Below are 22478 nucleotides of genomic sequence, written 5' to 3'. Positions count from 1 at the left end.
GTGCTTCTGTCTTCCCACTGAGGAGCAGGAGGGATTTCCTGAGGGTGGAAATGGCAGATGCTGGGTGGGGAGAGCCCAAGATGAGGGGGACCTAGGGGCAGCGCAACAAGGATTCACTTGGGTGACGACGACGATCAGTGATTCTCCAGGGTCATACGGGAAGACCAGCTAATCTCAGGCACGATCCCATGAGCTCATGAATATTTAAGAAGGAGGATGGAAAGGAGAAGGTCAGATGACAGCACCGGCCATGCTGGTAGCTGTGCCCAAGAACGCACACCCTGTGCCGGAGGTCAGGTCTGCCAAAGCTGGGACCGCGCTGTCCTCATTCTCTGTTTCATCCCTGGCCCAGACGGCACTCAGCGCATGCTCAGTACAGTTGCATTCAATGAATGAGTGAGCAGGAAGGCGAGACGGGGTCCTGATGCGGGGGGAAGATGGGCCACCAGGGCTGGCCTTTGTGAAGAGGGGGCTTTTCCACTGAGGCCCGAGGAGTGGGTGGGGAGCCGGCCACGGGAAGAGCACTCCAGGCAGAAAGAAGAGCACAGGCAGAGGCCTGGGGGCTGGCAGGGCCCTGTGGGTCTGAGGTCAGCAGTAGGACCCGAGGGTGTGGAGCTCTGGGGGTGAAGATGGCAATAGCGGAGAGGGGGACAGAGGGTTGACCCCACAGGGCCGAGAGGCAGTGGAGTCAGGAACCAGCCTCAGGGGCTGCTTCCCGGCTGTGTGGCTTGGGCCAGTGACTTAACCACTCTGGGTCTCAGTTTCCTCAGGGCAAAATGGAGAGGAAAACAGCAGCCATCTCCCGTGACTGAGAATGACGGGTGGCGCTGGGAATGGTGCCTGGCACACAGTAACCTCTGCAGCAATGGTCGCTGCCATTGTTATTATTACTGTTATTAGCAGCGGAGGAGCTGGGGAGACAGAGCTGGGTCTGGATGCTGGGTCAGCCTGCCTGGGTTCGGGGTCTTTTCCCCTGATTAGGAAGAGTCTGCAGCTGGCAGAGGTCCAGGGTTTCTGGGTGCTGCCCAGGCCCTTAATTGGGAGCTGTGTCTCTGACACTTCCACGTCCTGGAAGGAGGGCTCAGCGGGCCTGCCCGTCCCTGCAGGCTGGGTGCCCTGGCAGGCATGCTGCCTCCTGCTCTGGGTGGCAAGCAGCAGGCAAGCGGGCGGAGTGATGATGGGGCTGGGAGTCTTGCTGGGCTGCGAGGGCAATGGGGCTGTGTCCCAGGCGCTTAGGGACACGGTGTCCCTCTGTGTGAGCCACTCAGCTCTGGGAGGGCCGGGTGGGCTGGGTCCCACCTGGGTGGGTGGGTGAGGCCCTGCCTGCAGGCTCAGCAGAAGAAAGGGGCTTCTGGGTGAAGGGTGAACCCGGGGCAGGACGTGCCCAGCCGCCTCCTCTCCCTGGGAACTCGCACTGCTCCCTGCCCGGGCGCCAAAGCTGGCGCTGCCCACGCCTCCTTCCTTCCCACTCCAGCCCCGCTCTCTTGCTTCAGTGGCTCAGGCTGAACCCTGAGTCAACCTTGCCCCCTCTTTCGTTCACACCCCAGTCCCTTCGCGAACCCACCAGCTCCACCTGCAAATAGATTTGGATTCTGACCCCTGGGCCCCTCCCTGTGACCCTGGGTTGCTGCAAAGCCTCCCAGCTGAACGGTGCCCCCAACACACCCTCCACACAGCGGCCGGGACACCCACACCAGAACAAAGCCCTCTGCTGACCACGCCGGATATCGACAAGTCACCGCTGAGCTGGGTCCCTTGTCCCCGTCTCCATCTCCCTGGGCTCCTCCCTGCTCCTGATTGACTCTTACCCCAGGGCCTTTGTACTGGCTGTTCCCTGTGCCTGGAACACTGTTCCCTCAGACGCCCACACGACGCTGCCTCAGTGAATTCAGGTCTGTGCTCCAGCGTCTTCTCAGCCAGGCCAGCGCTCCCTGCATGAAACCGGAACTCCCTCCCGCTCACGCAGCTACATTTTTCTACACAGTCTCATTGGCGCTTTAGGTGCTACACACTTCCTTGTTCATTTGTTTGTCTGAGTCCCCACCTTGGGATGCAGGTTCCCAGAGGGCAGGGTGTCCTCTGCTCTCTTCCCTGGTGTATCTCAACTGCCTGGCACATAGTAAGTGCTCCCTACATACCCTTGCCTGAATTGGGCCGACATGCATTCTTTAAGCAAGAGATGAACAGGGCCACGGTCTCCTCCCTCTGGGACTGGCCTTTCTGTCCCTGGAGACACAACATCAGAAGGGTCACCCCTTGCAGGATGCTTTAAGCCCGACTCCCCAGGAGTGGCCGCTGGCTTTCCCTTTGCAGAAGCCACAACGAGCCCTGGACTGAGGGCCAGCAGGCCAGAGCTGGCTTCTTTCTGGCCAGAGAATTGGCGCGGGACACCTGTTACTTGTTCATCCGGCACGGGGCTAACTCTGGGGGGGCAAATGCCAAGACCCGTCAGACGGCGTTCACAGGCAGAGGAGGGGAGCAAGCGGGAGGCAAATGCCACACCCATGGCGCACGCTGCTGGGCAGGCTGAGATGCCACCCCCCAAGCCAGTCTAGGGGGCTTAGAGACCTTCTGCAGAAGTAAGATTAAGGACCAAAGACCTTAGCCAGGAAAGCTGGGCCCAGAGAAGCCCCGCAGCGGGGATGGAAGCCGAGGCCGAGACAGGAGGGGACGGGGCTCTGTGGGGTTCAGCGCCAAAGCTGAGCTTTGAGGTGTGTGGGGCAGAGATGGAGGCTGCTGTCGCCCCGAGGGGGGCTGGGGCTGGGAGGAAGAGCAGGGCAGGAGCAGGCTCTCGTGGGGTTTGCAGAAAGGCCACCATCGGCTGCTGGGAGAAGGGCCTGTTGCTGCAAAGGTTGGGCCAGAGGCTAGGGTGGTGGCGAGGGTGCAGACAATCAGATGGATTTGTGAGCTTAGTTCAAAAGCCACAATCTGGGCTTCAGGATTCTCATCCATAAATAAGGGGGCCGGTCTGGGTTCTCTGCAAGGGACTTTACGTCTTGAAGATCTGGGTGTTTATTCTTCCAACCCCCTCCGCTCCCGAAGGAACATGAAGTGGCGTGGGAGTGGGGAGTGTGTCATCCACTGTCGGTAAGAGCAGGAAGCTTACCCAAGTGAACAACCACAACAGAAACCCTGCATGGCTCCAAGTCGCTGCTGAGACGCCGTCGCATCTGGGGGCGGAGGAGACGGGATGTTGAGGACCAAATGGTGGCTTCCCAGTGACGTGTCGGGAATCTGTAAATGCGGCCTTGATTGGAAAAGGGGTCTTTACAGAATTCATTCAGTTAGGGATCTTCGAATGAGACCATCCTGGATTTAGGGTGGGCCCCATATCCCACGACAAGTGTCCTTATATGCAAGGGGGGGATCTGAGGACCCAGGGAAGGCGGCCACAAGACCACAGAGGCAGCGGTTAGAACCAAGGGACGCCTGGAGCCCCCTGAAGCCGGAGGAGTCAACGAAGATCCTTCCCTGGAAGCTCCAGAGGGCGGGGGTCCTGCTGATGCCTTGAATTTTGACTTCTGCTCCAGATGATGAGAGGGTACATTTCTGTTGCTTTAAGCCACTTAGTTTGTGGTCACTGGTGATGTCAGGTACAGGAAACTCATTCAGGAGGAATTGCAGGGGGATTAAACCCCGGCAAAAGGATTGATGAGAAGTCTGTGGAGGATCATCTTTCCTTCCAGTTTCAGGTCTGGGCTCCAGCACAGCTGCCGGCCCTGTAGAGGTGGGGGAGGCGCATCGAGGAGACAAGGGGCATGCGCAGGGCAGGGGCTGGGGGGGTCGCTCGGCGCCTCTTCCCTCCCCAAGCTGGGCACCTGCTGCTACCCTGGTGGAACATTCTGGGCCTCGTGTTTGCCGGAGGCGAAGTCTCACAAAATGAAGGGAACAAGGGTGGCAGTGTGGCTGTACTTGATCTCATCTGCCCTTGGCTGTGACCCTGGAGCCCCAGAAGCCTTTGCTGTCAACCTTGGAGATGTTTAAAATGGGAAAGAGACGGCACGGGAGGAGAGTGACACCATGCTCACGCAGGGCGAGCGTGCGCCAAGGCCATGCTGCTCCTACAGAAGGCGCAGGAAACGGTGGCCCAAGTGCAGAGGCTCCGGCACACAGTGGAGCGTGGGGACCGTTTCTGGAGCACTCATCGCTCCCCACCACACCGGCAGAGCTCAGCATCTTTCCTGTGTTACACCGTGGGGTGTCTCAGCCTCCTCATGAGGGAGCTGCCGTTCTAGGCATTTTACAGATGAGGAAACTGAGGCAAAACAGCCTTCCCAAGGTCATCCTGCCAGGAAGTGGCGGGGGTGGGGTCAGAGCGGCTGAGCCTCCTGAGGTGAGGTCGGAGCAGCTGAGGCCCCAGGAGCCTCCACCTAACAGGCTCCGTGGCCTTTGTGTGTGCATGGGACCAGGTGTCTCTCCAGGGAGTGGGCCTGTCCAACTTCAAACCTGGCTGGACCTACCACGCCGATAAGTCCCAGCACGTGTTCCCACACTCAGAGCTGAGGGTTCCCCAGTGCCTGCCACCGTAGGAAGGACCAGGACACGTTTGGGGGTTACTCCTGGGCAAAGACTCCAAAACCAAGTGTGAGTCTGGAGTGCTGGGAGCCAGGGCTGAGGGGTGGAGGAGCAGGGCCGGAGCACCCCGACGGGGATGGGAGTGCACTGAGGCCCTGGACCCCCGATCTGCTGCCTCTGCTGGTGGAGCTGGGATCACAGGGCTGGGTGGGGCCCCTGACCAGGGACTCTACTTGCGGTCTGGGGTTGGGAACTGGGTTTCGGTGTTGTCCAAAGCTTTCCAGGTGGTTCTCATGGGCAGCCATGGGTTGTAGTGGAACAGTCTGGAGAGATCTGGGTTCAAACCGCAGCCCCGCCTTTCCTTGTGGGATCCTGGAGGCCATTCTTGCTCAGCCCTGAATGGAGCTCGCTGGACAGAGAAGGGGATGGTCTTGAACACGGGAACCAAAAGCCCGGTGAGGCTGCAGCATCTGCCGTTCTGTGGTGGGACAGGCTGGGGGTGGCCATGGGCGTCCTTGGAGGGCCTGTAGTTTATTCTCTGAGTCACACACTGTGGGGCACACAGAGTCCCCTGGGCAAGCTCGTTCACAGATGAGACTCAGGGTCAGAAAACCTAATGCTAGGCCTCTGCCGGGGACCCAAGCCTCCCCCAGGTGAGTGCCACCCACAGCCAGCTGAGAATGACAGGATGTAGACGCAAAGAGGCATGCTGGGGAGACCTGCTCCTGCTGTCCGCTCTCCCCCATCCACCAGGATGAAGGGGCCAGGCCCCAGCATGGCAGTGGGTGGGGAATCAACGAGGGGCTGGTGACCAGAGGACAGCGCCCAAGCCTGGCTGAGATAGGCATGAGTGGCGGTCGGTTCCGGGGCCTGATGACTATGGGCGATGTGTATCGAGCGCGGTCTGCACGTGGGGCGAGTGCCAGGGCCTCCCGTGGAGGGGCTCACTTCACCTCCCAGGACCCCTGCGAGGAAGAGACCCGAGGAGCCATTTTACTGCCAGGGAGATGGCAGCTCACAGGTTATGGCACTGTCCCAAGATCACACGACGGGCAAGCAACAGCACCAGGTTCCCACCCAGGCCACCTGCACCCCAGAGTCCACAAGCTGAGCCTCCTGCCTCCAGGGCCACCGCCCAGGAGCCCCTCCTCCTGCCTGGCCCTACCAGGCCCCCCAGCACACCTCACCCCTTCCTGGAGCAGCCCCTGCCCCTCCCTGCTCCAGGCCCTCCTTACCTGACAACGAAGGGGCCGGGTGCAGCAGAGGTGACAGAGGTGACCAGTTTGGCCGGGGAGGAGTGGACACACTGGGGTTGGCCCTCCCCCAGGGGACACCCCCCCGACGTGGTAACAGGGGAGCTGGGGGACAAGAGGCCAGGCTGGGCCGTTTGTCGCATCACAAAGTCCTGCCCTGGGCTTGCTGGGGTGCCCGGTCAGTGGTGGGCAGCCTCAGGGTGGCTCTGCCTGAGGGCCCAGCCGGCCCCGCTCCCGTCCTCTGCTGCAGCTCCTCCGGAGCAACTGCAGCCTCGGTGATAGCACCTGGAAAAGGGGCACATCTTGCCAAGGTGTGCCCAAGGGGCAGGTTGGGTTGCTGTGATGATGGGTACACAGGGCCCTGCACACGGTAGGTGCTCAGTAAACAACTGCTGAAGGATGTGCCTTTCCCACGGTCACACGCAAGCAGGTGCTGGCGCAGGGCTCAAACCCAGACCAACCTCGGTGCCCACCCGGTGCCTCCTCCCAGGCAGCCCTGCTGGCTGTGAGGATGTGGGAGCCCTGGGGATGGAGGTTTCTACCAACCTCGGTGCCCTCCCTGTGCCTCCTCCCAGGTGGCCCTGCTGGCTGTGAGGATGTGGGAGCCCTGGGGATGGAGGTTTCTACCAACCTCGGTACCCTCCCTGTGCCTCCTCCCAGGCGGCCCTGCTGGCTGTGGGGACAGAGGTTTCTACTTGTCCTGCCTCCATCCCATTTCCCGTAAGGGAGGAAATTCTCCGTGGAACTCCCCTGCTGGACTGACACTCCTCCACCGCTCGACACATTCAGAATCAGGTCAGGGCTTGGTCAGCTCGGAGCCTTCCACCAGGAGAATGAGGCTCAGGAGGCTGCTGGCCTTGTGGGGAGCTCTGGGTGGGACCCTCCTTGAGGGGTGAGACCCCCTCACCACCATATTTCTGCCCATAATTCATTGTCTGCCCGTGGTTATTCTCCTAAGAGCTGCCCTTGCATGGGCAGCCGCTGCGAGGGAGGAGAAATGCACACCCGTCTGTCCACCGCTTCCTCTGGGCAGCGATGTCCACCCAGCACTGCTTCCCCACCCCCAGGGACACCTCCTACCCCTCCTCATGTGGACACCGGCACTTTGCCCCAGATCCCAGGGTGAATAGCGCTGCTGCTTAAGGACAGCACAGACCCTAGGAAGATAAGGCAGATGACATCAGAAATGTTCAGAGGGTCGTCCATGCCAGCTGTGGGAACAGCCCCGGGGCCAGGCCTGTGGGCACCTGGGCCTTTGCAGATCAGAAGGAGCAAGTGTCCTTCTGTGTTGATGCAGGCTTTCCAGTCGGAGCTGCAAAAGGAGACACAAAAATCACAGCTCATTCCAAGAGGTGCCTGCAGCCAGCAGCACCCAGCAGCATTGTCACCACTGCAAGCAGCCACTGACAGCCGACCTGAGAATGAACATGAGGGCCAGGGAGGAGGCAGCTCAGCCTGCAGCGTCAGCAGCGCAGTTCGGCAGAGCCTGCTAATCGTCTTGCTCAAGTTTCAAACTCTGTTTACCAAATGACCACAGAAGCGTTTTAACAACAAACACCTCATTTGAAGGCCAAGATGAAAAATTTTACATAAAAAATTAATTTTACTGGTTTACATTGTTTTTATACATTAAAATGAATACATTTACTTATTTTTTTGAGACAGGGTCTCATTCTGTCACCCAGGCTGGAGTGCAGTGGCACGATCATAGCTCACTGTCGACTCGACCACCTGGACCCAAGCAATCCTCCCACTTCAGCCTCCCAAGTAGCTGGGACTACAGGTGCTCACTGCCACATCTAGCTAATATTATTTTTATTTTTCGTAGAGATGGGGGTCTCGTTATGTTGCCCAGGCTGGTCTCCAGCTCCTGGGCTCAAGTGATCCTCCTGCTTTGGCCTCCCAAAGTGCTGGGATTAAGGCATGAGCCACCACGCCCAGCCAAAATGGACACATTTACTTATTGTAAATTTAGTAATGGCCACACAGCTCATAAGTGACGATGCCAGGCTCAGGACCCATCTCTGGGTCCTAATAAAATATTTTCTAGCCTCTGTCCTGTCTAACAATACAGTTGGAAAAAAACTGGGTACAGCTATGTTTTTATGTGCCTAAGGGTCAGCAAGATGTCAGAGATGACTGTGCATCGTATGGATGGGCTGGCACCGTCTGGATGAGTAACTGAATGCAGTCGAGTGAGATTCATAAATTACACCTGCACCATGGCAAGCTGGACTTTGTCAGGCAAGAGGCTCTTGGACTCCTGCTATCAGAGAGGAAGGACCAGACAATTCAATGACTGCACCTCTTGTCTCACCTCAGCTCTTCCACCTCTCAGACCCTGCCTCTACTCCAGTGCAATGTCTGTCTCTGTTGGTGATGCACAACCTACCTGCCTTTACAGCATTTAGATGAAGTGGCCTTTTGTTTCCAAGTTGTCAAGCGGGAGACGCAGACAGTGTTTCTTCGAGGCTTGGGGGGTGGTTGTGCGAGAGTGGACGCTAAGTCCGGGCCAACACTGAGTGCTGTATCCCAGGGACATAGGAGTCCTGCGTGTGGGTCTGCGACACGTAAGGGCCTCTCAAGCGTGGGGTCTGTGGCAGGTGCCCTCCTGCCTGGGTCTAAGGCCAGTGCCGATTATTGTTGTGAAAGCCCCACATTCCTTTCAGAAGAGGTTTGGCAATCGACTGCTTTACCATAGGTGCTGCCTTCATGATCCTGAGGTCGTGGGTAAAAATCTCCACTTTCAACCACAAGGCTGCTTTGAGGATTGCAACACTTGGGCAGCAGAGGTTTATGTCCACTGCTGGTTTCTAAGCCAGCCTGTGTCTGTGCTTGCACAGGAATGGGCAGGAGCTCTGATTCATACAGATAAAAAGCTGCAAATTATAAGAGTTTCAGACTGTTCTCTCTGTGGCTGCTGCAACTCACAGATTTTGGGAGAAGCCTGGGTATGCTGAGGGCTTACGAAGTCGAGATGACCTCACACCACAAGGTGACATGTTGGTGGTTCCAACGTGCTAATCTCTGATGCATCACACTTGTGAATTGGCCACTTCCAGTGCAGTTACAAATGAGATTTTAAGTGAAAGCTTAATAAGTATTTTGGAGCTCTGGAAGGCCTGCAGGATTTGGCTGGTCCCCAATGCCACTGTGCCAAGCAGAGGCCAGGTTCTGCTGGGGTGCCCCAACTCCTGGTCACATAGGGAAGTTCCTCCTCCCAGGACGCCAAGGTCTGGCTTCTACCTGCATGTAGCTTCTCCTTCTGGTCCCAGTGCTTATCACTGGGGTTTCCAGAACACATCTCTAAGAGTCGGGCGTGGTGGCTCACACCTGTAATCCCAGCATTTTGGGAGGCCAAGGCGGGTGGATCACTTGAGGTCAGGAGTTCGAGACCAGCCTGGCCAACATGATGAAACCCTGGCTCTATTACAAACACACAAAAAATTAGCCAGGCATGGTGGTGTGTGCTTGTAGTCCCAGCTACTCAGGAGGCGGAGGCAGGAGAATTGCTTGAACCTGGGAGGCAGAGGTTGAAGTGAGCCAAGATGGCCCCATTGCACTCCAGCCTGGGCGACAGCGCAGGACTTAGATAAACCCAGGGCAAAGTGCACTTTGCATGTCTAGAGGCAAAATTCTTCAAAGGATTGCCCAGGGTGTGAGATGTGTGATAATCTGGTGGCTCCTGGACGAAGCAATAATCTCATTTAATCCTTTTCCAATTCTTGCTCCTTTATGAGTCTTTTGAGGACTTTCTGAGTCCTCAAAGAGAAAGTCTGTTTGGTAATATACGTTTAAAAAACCTTAACATTTATTAATCCTCCCCCGCCAACCCCGATTTTTTTGAAGAGAGAAAGCAAATGTATCTAACTGAAGTTTAATGCTGTTTTGTTTTTATATTACTTTTTACTTTTAGCTTCTACTTAATAAAAAAATCCAGCTTGTATTGATGGGAGGGATATAAAAAAATTGCGACAGTGCTCAGCAAATGACTGGTGTTTGGGACCCGTGGCCTCTAGATTTAGCGGAGTTTCGATCTGTGATCTGGGCTCCATGCCTGAGACAGAAAGTCATGCCCTCAGTCAGCCCGACTTGAGACCGATGTGAAGCGACTGGAGGGGGCCCTCTGGGACATTTGCAAATGACCACGCCCCTGCTGTACTGCAAACGACGACTGGGCAAGGAGGAGCTGACCACAGGAGGCTCGGACTGGGAGCCAGAAGATTCCCCCGGGGAAGCTTCAGAAAGCAGGAAGAGCAGCTGGTTTGGGCAGTCCCAAATGCCTGCTCTAGCTCTGAGTATCGTTACCTAATCCCTGTGAGAGAGTGGGGAGCGGCTGTGCAAGTTCCGAGTGCAGGTATGCTACCTGTTAGGATTTTATTTTTTTATTTTTATTTTTTTTTGAGACGTAGTCTCGCTCTGTCGCCAGGCTGGAGTGAGTGGCGCCATCTCGGCCAACTGCAACCTCCGCCTCCCGGATTCAAGCGATTCACCTGTTAGGAATTTTAACATTCAGCGCCCAAGCGCAGAGCAGAGGAGGCTGGAGGGGCGCAACACCGCCATCTCGCGGCGACGGGGTGCACAGCGCTTGCGAGGACCCAGACTGGGATCCATCTGTCCCAGAGACTCATTTTCAGCATCAAAGTGCGTCCCTGCGCTGTCCGTAAAGAGCCTGCCATGCGGCAGGTACCGCGCAGGACTCCAGACCTGCCTTATCTTTTGAGATCCCCACAGCCCCTGAAGGAAGGGACCACTAATATCAACATTCACAGGACGAAATCGGAGGTGTCCTTGTGTTCACAGCTGGGCAGCCCACCCAGCTCAAGGGGGGACTTGGGGAACGCTGTCTAGCCTGCGAGAGGTGGAAGTGGGCTCCTGAGAAGGGCGGCCGCGTGTGGCTTCACCGTCCCCTTTTGGGTTTAAAGGGAACTTCCCCGGATGGATTAGGTGTCACGGCAGCAGTGTGAGAATGGAAGCGCCCAAGCCCGTCCCCTCGGCCAGCCCCTTCAGCTCTCTGGGCCTCAGTGTCGTCACCCGTCAAACGGGGACAGGGACCCTCCTTCCCAGTGCAGGGTGGGGTCCGAGTGAGCTAGGGCAAGCCAGCGTTCAGTGCAGGGCAACTGGGGTCTGAGTCCTTGGGGAGCTGGGCTTGGAGAAAGTGAGATCTCGTGGGCTCTGGGAGGGAGGGCCTGTGCTCTGTTCCCACACAGCACCCCCAGCGGCAGGGCTCCTTGGGGAGGCCAGACCAGGGCCAGGCGTGGCCAGAAAGACCCTGCCTTTAAGGGGCTGTGGAACCCTGGGCAAGGAGTGTACCCAAGTAACCAGCGTGGCCCCAGGCCAGGGGTCCCCTCTGCAAGTGTCACATTGGAGGGGGCCCTGATGATCTTGCAGACCCTGCAGCCACCTCGGGCCAGAAGCGAAGCAGGGTCCCTGCCCTCAGAGAGCGTCTAGTCTAGTGGAGATACACACATGAAACTGCCTTGTTTAGAAGCTACCAGGAAGGAGAGGCCCCAGTGAGAAGACGGCAAATAAAGGGGGACTGTGACCTAGTCAAGCCACCAGGGAAATCTTCCTGAGGAGAGGACGATGGATGAACTTTGGAGGCAGAGTGGGCATTGCCTGGGAGGCAGGGAGGGGAGAGCGTTTCAAGAAGAGGGAGGAGCATGTGCCACGCAGGAAGGAGGGAGGACAGGGAGTCCCAGACTGAGGGAGGACAGTGCCAGGAGGGCCTGGAAAAGCAGAGGGGAGGGTCAGGCCACAGCAGGCTTGAGAGGCCACGGAGGGGGCTGTGTGTGACAGGGAGGGTGACGGGGATGGTGGGAGGTAGGAAAGGAGAGGAGAGATGGAACCTGATTTGCATTTCACAATGACAACTCTGCCTGCTGGGGTGGAGAAGGATCTGGAAGAGTCTGGCGTAGGCAGGTGGGCAGAGCACCTGCGAGGTTAGTTAATGCACATAATCAGGAAGGAGACTTTGTAACCTGGGCCAGGGAAATGAAGAGAACAAGGCCAGTGGTCTGTCCAGGGGCCCGGGGACGGGTGGGAGGTGGGGGTGAGGGGAGCCCCAGGGATGGCACCCAGGCTTCTGTGTTACACAGTTGGAGGTGGCCTCGCCAGGAAGGAACAGCTGGAGGAGGCCAGGTTTTGGAGGGAGGGCATCTGCATTCAGCCTTGGCCGTGCTGAGCCTGAGCTGCTGCTGAGCTATGCAGGGGAAACACACAGGTATGGGGTGTCTGTGTCACCAGTGAGGGGACTGTGCAAGTGACTGTCCTAACTGAACACTTCAGAGTGAAAAGAAGCTCTGTTAACAATGATGCCACACCAGGGCCCCAGACAGGGCCTGTCCCCGGCAAACAGGGGCACTAGTGCCCTTGCTATCGGTAGTTAGGAGACAGCAGAGACACGGATGGGGGTGAGATCCTTAGAGAAGGAGGGGACTCCCGGAAGCCGAGAGGAATGGCTGACTAAGAGTGGCGGAGCACAGGTGGGGATGGCCAAGAGGGTGTGCATCTGTGCCAGTGCCGGGAGCATTTGGGAAGTGCAGTGTGGCCCACGGTGGCCCCTGGCCATTGCTGAGGGGGAACCTGGCTGGATGTACCCCCTAGGAGGTCACCGGGGGCCTCGGTGAGAGCTGGCAAGGAGAGGTGGCATCGTGAGCCACACTGGGGTGGAGACTGCAAATGGCCAGTTCTCTCTGGAGCAGCGCCGCTTAAATAAACATGGCTCTGGCATCTTTGAAGGCAGCTCTCTGGTCTTCTCTCCTGCGAAAGTGCTCAAGGAGGCAGTAACTCACGTTCAGGGGGTGCTGTCTGAGCAGCAGGAGTGAGGGCTGCCTTTCTTCAGTGAACCAAAAATATTTGCCAAGCCTCTCCTATGTGCCAGGCGATGGAGACAGATTTACGGCAACAGACGTGAGAGAACAAGCCGGGGGTTCAAGCCTCTGTCACAGACGCACGGGAGCTTCAGAAGCAAGCGCTCCTGCTGGGTGGGATACGGCCCACTCCATCTCCCCCGCTCTAGGAACTGCCTGGGCCACTCATCTCCCCTCGTCAACATGAAGAGGTGACGCCAGCTGTTCTACTCAACTGCTCCGGAGAGACACCTGCTCTGGGTGCACTCACCACAGGGCCAGATCCCCCATCTCCAAACCGGGCCAACCATCGTTCCCACCACGGCCCGGGCTGAGTCTGGGGTCATGAGAGGAGGCTGTCTCTGTGGCGGCGGAGCTGTGCACTGCCTGCTTCCTGCACGAGAGCCAGGTCCGGGTTCCTCCTGTCTTCCCGTGGTCTGGCTGCCCCTCGCTGGCCTGGATTTTATGCTTTGGTGGGAGCTCAGCTTCTCTCCCTGGCAGCCGAGGGCTCGGACCGATACGGCCAGCACTGTGCATGCCCGGGTTTGAGAGAAGCCACCCCAGCCTGGGGTTGTCTTCCACAGACCCCCGCCCCCTTGCCAGAATGTCAGCACCCTAACACCCCCTGTCCTCAGTCTCTCAGCCCAGCCGGGCTACCTTTCTGACCTATTCCCCTCCAGGCTTGCCAAAACCTGCGGCCCACTCTGTTCTGCCCACTGCTGGCCTTCTCCTCTCTGGGCCTTTGCGTGGGTCTCCCCACGTACGGTCAGGAGGTGGACCAGTGCGGTGGAAGGAGAGCTGGGTGGTGGTCGGGCCTGGGTTTGAGTCCCAACTCTGCCCTCACCAGCTGCTCAGCCCTCTCCCAGCTCGCCGCCTCATCGCCTCATCTCTAAGTGAGGAACACTCGCTCCAGCTTCAGGGCTGGACACGGTGATCCTCTAGGGAAGGAGGCAGGCTGGAACCAGGAACGTGTACAGAGAATGCCTGGCCCAGAGCAGAGAATCTCGTTTCTCTCTGCCTTCCTCAATGATCAAGAACTAGCCAGGCGGGAAACGCAAATGCAATGTGGAAATAAACCAAACAAAGGCGAGACAGAGATCTAGGGTCACCTCTGTGAGTCCGCTAAACTGCAAATGAGGCAGACTTTCTGTGGTGAAATCATGGGCAGCTTTTGTTTCTAAGAGTAGATCAAAATGGACTTCATATTTCTGTAAGCGCCTCAGAATCCAATTGGAAATCACAGAGGTGTTTGCTCGATTTAAATCTTTAGTACACCTCATGTTTAATTTCAAACAGAGCTCAGAATAAGCACATGCCTGCACAGAGCACTGAGATTCCCTCACTTCTGAGGCCACACAGAACGAGGAGGAGGGAAGCCCTCTTGGGAGCAACTCTTGGTTGTTCTTGCCCTGGAGGTCAGTGAAGGTCAAGCCCTCAGAGGGAAGGAGGGATGGAGAGGGTAGAAAGAGAAAGACACAGAGAGACAGAGAGGCCTCAGAGTGACCACAGGGAGTTCAGATTCTGAGGCCCTGCAGAGCCAGTCTGGAGCTAGCCGGTGGCCTGGGCTCTCCCTGAGGAGTATGACAAGGGTGCTCAGCCATCAGGGGTCAGGAGGTCCCCTCAAGCCCCTGTGCAATGCCGTGTCCACAGGAGCCATTCCCACCTCTCCCGGGAACGAATGATCCACTTAGTCACCTCTTAGAAATTGTGAGAAGCCAGAAAACCAACAAATATTCAAATATCCAAATAAGGACTGAAAGATCCCAGAACCCGCATTCAGGTGAGCAGGATGGTGGCGCCCAGGTCCAGATGTAGAAACGCCCATCATGACAGGGACTGCTCTGCTTCCCAGGGCAGGCATCAGTTAACTGCTTTATATACATCGTCTCCTTTGAGCCTCTCAGCAGGCTGTGGGGTCGGTACTATGGTTACTGCCACTTAAAGATGAGGAAACTGAGGCAAAGCAAGGGTAGGTGGCTTGCCCTGGGCCACCCAGCTGGAAGTGGTGGGGCCAGCATTTGAACTGGGCACTGGCCGGAGCCAAAGTCTACAGCTCCCTCCATGGTGCCTCACGCTGCATTTCAGAAGAAAAAGGAGCCCATGAACAGGTGAGAGCAGGTGCACCCCAACTCCAGTGGCACCCCTCAAGTCTGAACCCCAGCAGGGTGCATGGCTGGGCCTCTTGTGAAACCCTGTGGGTGGGATGGAGGGAGCTGGGGAGCATCTGATCCACAGATGACAGGGCTCCAAGAGATAAGGAGAGCCGGAACTTAGGTCTCGGATACGGGGGGAATGGAGCAGAGTAGCTCCTGAGATGGGACGGGACGCGGGCTCCGGAAGCACAGGTCGGGCCTCAGACTGAGATGGGGAACACTCGGGGGGGCAGGCTCTGTGGCAGGGGTGGGGTTGTGACTTCAGCCTTGAACCTGGGACACAGTGGAAAGCACTCATGACAATTTATTGTGCAGCTACGGTGAGCCCAACACTGCTGGGCACTTTCCAGAGGAAGACACTGTGGTCACAGTTGTTGCCCAGGGTTCCTGAGAGCAAGTGGGATGGAAACCAGGTCTGTGAGACTGAGCCCCTGCCCTCTTAGCCACTGTGTTCCCCTTGTGACGATGTCACCTGGGCACTGAGTAGCACTTTCCTGTAGGGTGTAGTTCAGAACACTAGGACCCAGTGAGTAGCCTATCACCCTCAGACCTGGCCGCTGTCTGCTTTTGTTCTGCTTTTGTCTCCTCTGCACTGCCACTGTGGGAAAGATGACATGTGTAAGAATGGGTGGTCAGATCATCCCTCAGGAAAAGCGAGGAGCTGGAAGCCACCTGCCTTTCTAGAGGTTCTACAGTAAGAGTGAGACGTAAACAGATGATAAGAGGTTTGTAACACCCATGAAGTGAGGGGAATATTGGTTCAGTGCAGTATCATAGAGGGACGACAGGCTCTTTCTCCTTATGATGGGGACTGAGGCATGGAGAAGGGATGTTAATACATCCATCCACCCATCCTAACATCCTCCGCCATCAATTCATCTGTCCCCCATCCATCCATCTTCCATCATTCATCCATCTTCCTTCCATATACCCTGCGCCATCCATCCACCCACCCACCCACCCATCCATCCATCCATCCTCCTTCCTTCCATCCACCCTCCTCCATCCATCTATCCATCCATCCATCCATCCATCCTCCTTTCCTTTCCTTCCATCTACACTCTACCCTCCATCTATCCATTCATCTTCCTTCCATTAACACTCTGCCCTCCACCATCCATCCAAACATCCACCCACCCACCCATCTATTCATCCATCTTCCTTCCATCCACCCTCTACCACCCATCCATCATTCCATCCATCCATCTTCCTTCCATCCACCCATCTTCCTTCCATCTATTCGTCCATCCATCTTCCTTCCATTAAAACTCTACCCTCCATCCATCCATCCATCCATCTTCCATCCATCCAACCATCTTCCTTCCTTCCACCCACCCAGCCATCTATTCATATACCCATCTTCCTTCTATCCACCCTCCACCATCCATCCACCCATCTTCCTTCCACCCATCCATCTTCCTTCCTTCCATTAACCCTCCACCATCCATCTGTCATCCATCCATCCATCCATCCATCCATCCATCCATCCATCCATCTTCCTTCCTTCCATCCATCCATCTAATGTTCATTGAGGACCTGCTAAATGTGAAGCACTGTAAGAAGTACAAAGATAAAGTTTGATAAAAACAGAAAACCACTGATGACTGTGGAAGCTGGGTGATAGGTCTGTAGGTTCGTTATGCAATTTCTCCCTGCTTTTACATATGTTTGAAATTTTCCATAAGAGGTTAGAGAGATGAGGTGTGAAAGGTGGGAACTAGGAGTTGCAGTCTCGGACACGCCTGCCACACAGAGGCAGCGGATGTGCAGCTCTTCCTGGGCTCCCTGAAGGCAGTGATCTTGGAGCCTGGGAGGCCCTGGCAGAACACAGCCACCCGGAGAGACCTTGCAGATTCGAGGGCAGGAGGGAGGAAGGGGAAAGGGAAGAGGGAGAGAACGAGAATGAACCTCAGGCCTGAGAACGGGCATGGGCTGGGGGTCTTCCTGCGTGTCTCCCAGCTCTGCCCATTGGACAGGGCTCTCTGACACAGAACATTCTGGCTGGCTTTAGGTCTGTCAACTGTTCACAGGCAGCGACCTCAGCCTGGTGAGATGAGCTGCTAGTCAAAGCTGCTAGCTGCCCAAAAAGGTTTTGAGGAACCCGTGCCTAGCCTCACGTGAGCTGGAGGAGATCTGTTTTTATCGCAAACAGAATGGGCTCTATGAATGGCTGTGGGAGGCCAGGGAGCTCCCTGGAATTGCAAAAGCAAAACAAAACAAAACTGTGCACAGGGTGTGTGTTCTGTGCACTAGGTTCTCCTGTGCACTGCGGGTGTTCTGCTGTGTACCGTGTGCTGTCCTGTGGACTGTGTTCTGTGCACTCTGTTCTCCTGTGCACTGTGCGTGTTCTCCAGTGCGCTGTGTGTGTACTGTGTTCTCCTGTGCACGTGTGTTCTGTTGTGTCCTGTGCACTGCGTGTGTTCTGTTGTGTCCTGTGAATTGCGTGTGTTCTCCTGTGCATGGAATGTGTTGTTGTGTACTGTTCTCCTGTGCACCACTGCATGTTCTGTGCAGTGCGTGTGTGTTCTCTGCACTGTGTTCTCCCGTGCATTGCATGTTCTCCTGTGCACTGCGTGTTCTCCTGTGCACCGTGTGTTCTGTACACCGTGTGTTCTCCTGTGCACCATGTGTTCTCCTGTGCACCGTGTGTTCTGTGCACTGTGTGTTCTGTGCACTGTGTGTTCTCCTGTGCCCCGTGTGTTCTGTGCACTGTGTGTTCTCCTGTGAACCGTGTTCTGATCACCGTGTTCCGTGCATCGTGTGTTCTCCTGTGCCCCGTGTGTTCTGTGCACTGTGTGTTCTCCTGTGCACTGTGTGTTCTGATCACCGTGTGTTCTGTGCAGTGTTCTCCTGTGCACTGTGTGTTCTCCTGTGCCCTGTGTGTTCTGTGCACTGTGTGTTCTCTCCTGTGCACTGTGTGTTCTCCTGTGCACTGTGTTCTCCTGTGCACTGTGTGTGCATGTTCTCCTGTGTGCTGTGCATTTGTTCTGTGCAGTGTGTGTTCTCCTGTGCACTGTGTTCTCCTGTGCACTGTGTGTGTTCTCCTGTGCACTGTGTGCATGAATTCTGTGCACTGTGTGTGTTCTCCTGTGCACTGTGTGAATTCTGCTGTGCACCATGTGTATTCTCCTGTGCACTGTGCATGGTCTCCTGTGCAGTGTGTGTGTGTGTTCTCCTGTGCACTGTGTTCTCCTGTGCATTGTGTGTGAATTCTCCTGTGCACCGTGTGTATTCTCCTGTGCACTGTGTTCTCCTGTGCACTGTGTGTTCTCCTGTGCACTGTGTCTGTGTTCTGTGCACTGTGTGTGCGTGTTCTCCTGTGCACTGTGTTCTCCGGTGCACTGTGTCTGTGTACTGCGTGTATGTTCTCCTGTGCACTGTGTGTGCGTATTCTCCTGTACATTGTGTGGTTCTCCTGTGCACTGTGTCTGTGCTCTATGCACTGTGTGTGCGTGTTCTCCTGTGAACTGTTTATGCATATTCTCCTGTGCAGTGTGGTTCTCCTGTGCAGTGTTCTCCTGTGCACTGGCTGTGTTCTGTGCACTGTGTGTGCGTGTTCTCCTGTGTACTGTGTCTGTGTTCTGTGCACTGTGTGTGCGTATTCTCCTGTGCACTGTGTGGTTCTCTGTGCACTGTGTGCGTGTTCTCCTGTGCACTGTGTTCTGTGCACTGTGTGTGCGTTTTCTCCTGTGCACTGTGCGTGTGTTCTGTGCAGTCTGTATTCTCCTGTGCACTGTGTTCTCCTGTGCACCATGTGTGCATGTTCTCCGGTGCACCGTGTTCTCCTGTGCACTGTGCGTGTTCTCCTGTGCACTGTGTGTGTTCTGTGCACCGTGTGTGCGTGTTCTCCTGTGCACCATGTGTTCTCCTGTGCACTCTGTGTTCTCCTGTGCACTGTGCGTGTTCTCCTGTGCACTGTGTGTGTTCTCCTGTGCACCGTGTGTGCGTGTTCTCCTGTGCACCATGTGTTCTCCTGTGCACTGTGTGTTCTCCTGTGCACTGTGTGTGAATTCTCCTGTGCAACATGTGTGCGTGTTCTCCTGTGCACCGTGTGCGTGTTCTCCTGTGCACTGTGAGTGTTCTCCTGTGCACTGTGTTCTGTGCACTGTGTGTGTTCTGTGCACCATGTATGTGTTCTCCTGCGGCGAGGCCTACCTGGCTTTCACCAGAATTTCAGTGATCTGTAACTCACAAAAGGTTAAGAAACTCTGCCTGAGTGATAAATAAAACCGGGAGGGTTACATTTGACCTAAAGAGTAACGTGATGTGATGAGCCGCCTTGCTGGAGGGAGGGCTCCTTGGCCGCAATAGTAAAATGGATTTGAACACTATTCCGAGACCTACCTCAGGCGTGCTAGTTCCTAGTGACTTGGGGATGACTGACATCTACAAACTCCTCTGGTGAGCCAAAGCCTCGGCAGATGTCACCTGAGCCCGTCCTCCCAGCGGCCTGTGCAGCGGGAATTCCTATCATCCCCTGTCCACACAGGAGAGAACCAGACAGCACAGGTGAAGGACACAGCCAGGAAGGGCGCCACCGGATCCGAAAGGCTGCCGGAGTGATCGAGAATGGGTGATCTGTCCATGGCACTCTGGAGGCAGCAGGATAAAGCACAGAAGACTGCTGGTCTTTAAGGTCTAGGCCAAAAGCTAAGCAAAGACGGTAAGGCCCAGCAGGTTTCCGCAGGCCTGAGGGTCTGGGGACGCTTACGGTAAAGAACTCTGCCCGCAAGAAGGGCGGGCAGGTTGCCAGGATTGCATTGATTGGCCTGCAAGCCACTCTTTCAGAATCAGCCCGGAGAACAAGAGGCATGAGACAGCTCCCGCGATCACACCGTCTGTCACGAAGCAACACGCCGTACGCAGAAGACAGAGAAGGGGCCTGGCGAGGGTCACAGGAGATGAAAGGCAAGGAAGGTGAGGGACCTGTCTGCCAAACCGAGGACAGCGAGGACAGGGCAACTGCGGACACACGCACACAGACACACAAAGACGTGTAAGCACATGCACATGCACGTGTGCACATGCACAGACGTGCACTGATCCAGAGACGCTCGTGCACACGCACACAGACGTGCACTGACACACACAGATGCTTGTGCACACGCACACAGACGTGCACTGATCCACACAGAGACGCTCGGGCACACGCACACAGACGTGCACTGATCCACACAGAGACGCTCGTGCACACACAGACGTGCACTGACACACACAGAGACGCTCGTGCACACGCACACAGGCGTGCACTGATCCACATAGAACGCTCGTGCACACGCACACAGACGTGCACTGATCCACAGAGACGCTCGTGCACACGCACACAGACGTGCACTGATCCACACAGAGACGCTTGTGCACACGCACACAGACGTGCACTGACACACAGAGACGCTCGTGCACACGCACACAGGCGTGCACTGATCCACATAGAACGCTCGTGCACACGCACACAGACGTGCACTGATCCACACAGAGACGCTCGTGCACACGCACACAGACGTGCACTGATCCACACAGAGACGCTCGGGCACACGCACACAGACGTGCACTGACACACAGAGACGCTCGTGCACACGCACACAGGCGTGCACTGATCCACATAGAACGCTCGTGCACATGCACACAGACGTGCACTGATCCACACAGAGACGCTCGGGCACACGCACACAGACGTGCACTGATACACACAGAGACGCTCGTGCACACGCACACAGACGTGCACTGACACACACAGAGATGCTCGTGCACACGCACACAGACGTGCACTGATCCACACAGAGACGCTCGTGCACACGCACACAGACGTGCACTGATCCACACAGAGACGCTCGGGCACATGCACACAGACGTGCACTGATCCAGAGATGCTCGTGCACACGTACACAGACATGCACTGATACACACAGAGACGCTCGTGCACACGCACACAGACGTGCACTGATCCACAGACGCTCGTGCACACGCACAGACGTGCACTGATCCACACAGAGACGCTCGTGCACATGCACACAGATGTGCACTGATACACACATACACACACAAACACAACTGCCTTCCTCCCACAAGCACAATGACTGCCCCTTCCTTCACCTTTGTTCTCATCCAACACACCCCAGGCTCCTTCATCCCAAACTCCCCGTAGGCTGGCTGGCTGATTCCAGCCTTCCCAGGTCTCTAATCTTAAAGACGACCACCACTACACAATCAGATGTTCAATGCTTTACAGAACAAACGTGTTCTTTACTGTGAAGTTCATTATGAACCTGAATCCCTGATCATTTAAAGCCTATTATCCAACTTATGCCTCAAGCAGCAACATTTTTGTGTTCAACAATTTAACTTACTACACACACCTTGTGCAAAATCACAAACCTTCTCATACATTTATGAGCTTCAGAATGTAACTGGGAAGTGTAGCACAGCCCTTTGTCCCTCTGCATTGCATGGTGAGAAACGGCTAAAGCAACCATCGCCGCATTCTGTTTTATGAGCACAAAGGAACACCTATTCTTATCTGGGCCACGCGCCCCGGTCCTTAGGAGGATGCCAGATCCCCCTGGGATGGCAATGGCAGAGGCTGCACAGCTTCCTGAAGATGTAGGTACCACAGCACCAGCCCCGGGCAGGGAGCCAGGCCAAGGGCAACGACAGAATCTTCCGGAGACAGCACAGCAACCCACTCATTTGTGTGCACCCGCACCCACAACCGTCTTGCACTGGGTGCATGTCACGCCCAGGGTGAGGGAAGTTGAGGCCTGGCCTCACAGTGTGGACCGGCTGCGGGACAAGAACACAGTCAACTTTGGCTTTGCTTGGAAAGCTGCTTCAGATACATAACTCCCGGCCCCTCCTGAAAATGATCGTTTTCTTAGCCGGGGCCCTGTGCTTTAGGAGAGGTTTACTGTCAGAGCTTGCTGTTCTTTTGAAACTGGGCCACTAGGCTGAGGACCTGCTCAGAGGCTTTGATGATCTTGGAGCCGAGGTAGGAGGTGCTGTTGGGGCCCGTCTCCTCCAGGAAGTAGCGGTAGTTGGCCATCAGGCCGCAGGAGCCGGTGATGCCTCTGAGGCTCACATCCGCCATCCAGTTGATGCGCCACAGCACCGCCCCGTTCTGCAGGTGGAAGTTGGCCACGGGGTTCAGCGCGTAGCCGCGGTGCTTCTCTCCATACAGGTACCAGGCGCACAGCCTCATCAGCGGAGTCTGCAGCGCCCGCACCAGCTTCTCCGACTGCACCCACTCGCTGCTGCTGAGGAGGAGCTTGAGGGTCTCGTTAATGGGGCCACCTGTGATCTCCGAGATTTCCTTACATTCCGAATCTGTAAAGAGTTCATTCCTCCCATGCTCCTTCGTTTGCGAGTTCAGAAGCCCCAGAAGCCATTTGGTGAAACCAGGTATAGGTGACAGACTTGAAAACACCCCAAGGTGAGGAAACTCTCTCTGTAAAGCATGGTTGGGGTGGAAAGGAAGGCGGAGAAAACACAAATTCAGCAGGTACGTTACCAACAGAGGAGCACCTCTTAACCTACGGCTCACATGCTGCTGTGTAGCGGTCAGAGTGACATCTGATACATGTTGTTTATCTTCTTTCAAGCAGCTTTTCTTTTTTTCCTCTTAGAGTCAGGGTCTTGCTCTATTGCCCTAGCTGGAGTGCAGTGGTGTCATCATGGCTCACTGCAGCCTCCATCTCCTGGGTCCAAGCCAT

At 56.1% G+C, this 22478-nt stretch overlaps 1 protein-coding gene and 1 long non-coding RNA gene across 2 annotated transcripts in view; one reads left to right on the top strand and one right to left on the bottom strand.

The window, feature by feature from the left end:
* Positions 1-5959: 5959 nt before the first annotated feature.
* LOC105371372 (uncharacterized) lies at positions 5960-13709 on the top strand. The gene is made up of 2 exons (XR_007065147.1): positions 5960-6563; positions 7066-13709. It is a non-coding gene; the product is annotated as an uncharacterized LOC105371372 (long non-coding RNA).
* Positions 10138-22478, bottom strand: part of MLYCD (malonyl-CoA decarboxylase) — a 27917-nt gene continuing 15576 nt past the window's right edge. Inside the window, exon 5 of the mRNA NM_012213.3 lies at positions 10138-22213. Within this exon, the coding sequence (NP_036345.2) occupies positions 21680-22213 (534 nt within the window). The 3' untranslated portion in view covers positions 10138-21679. The remainder of the gene's footprint in view (positions 22214-22478) is intronic.

This window comes from Homo sapiens, chromosome 16 (genome assembly GCF_000001405.40).
Source record: "Homo sapiens chromosome 16, GRCh38.p14 Primary Assembly".
NCBI classification, from domain to species: Eukaryota; Metazoa; Chordata; class Mammalia; order Primates; family Hominidae; genus Homo; species Homo sapiens.
The sequence above is the reverse complement of the archived record's forward strand: the minus strand, read 5'-3'. Positions and strand labels throughout refer to the sequence as shown.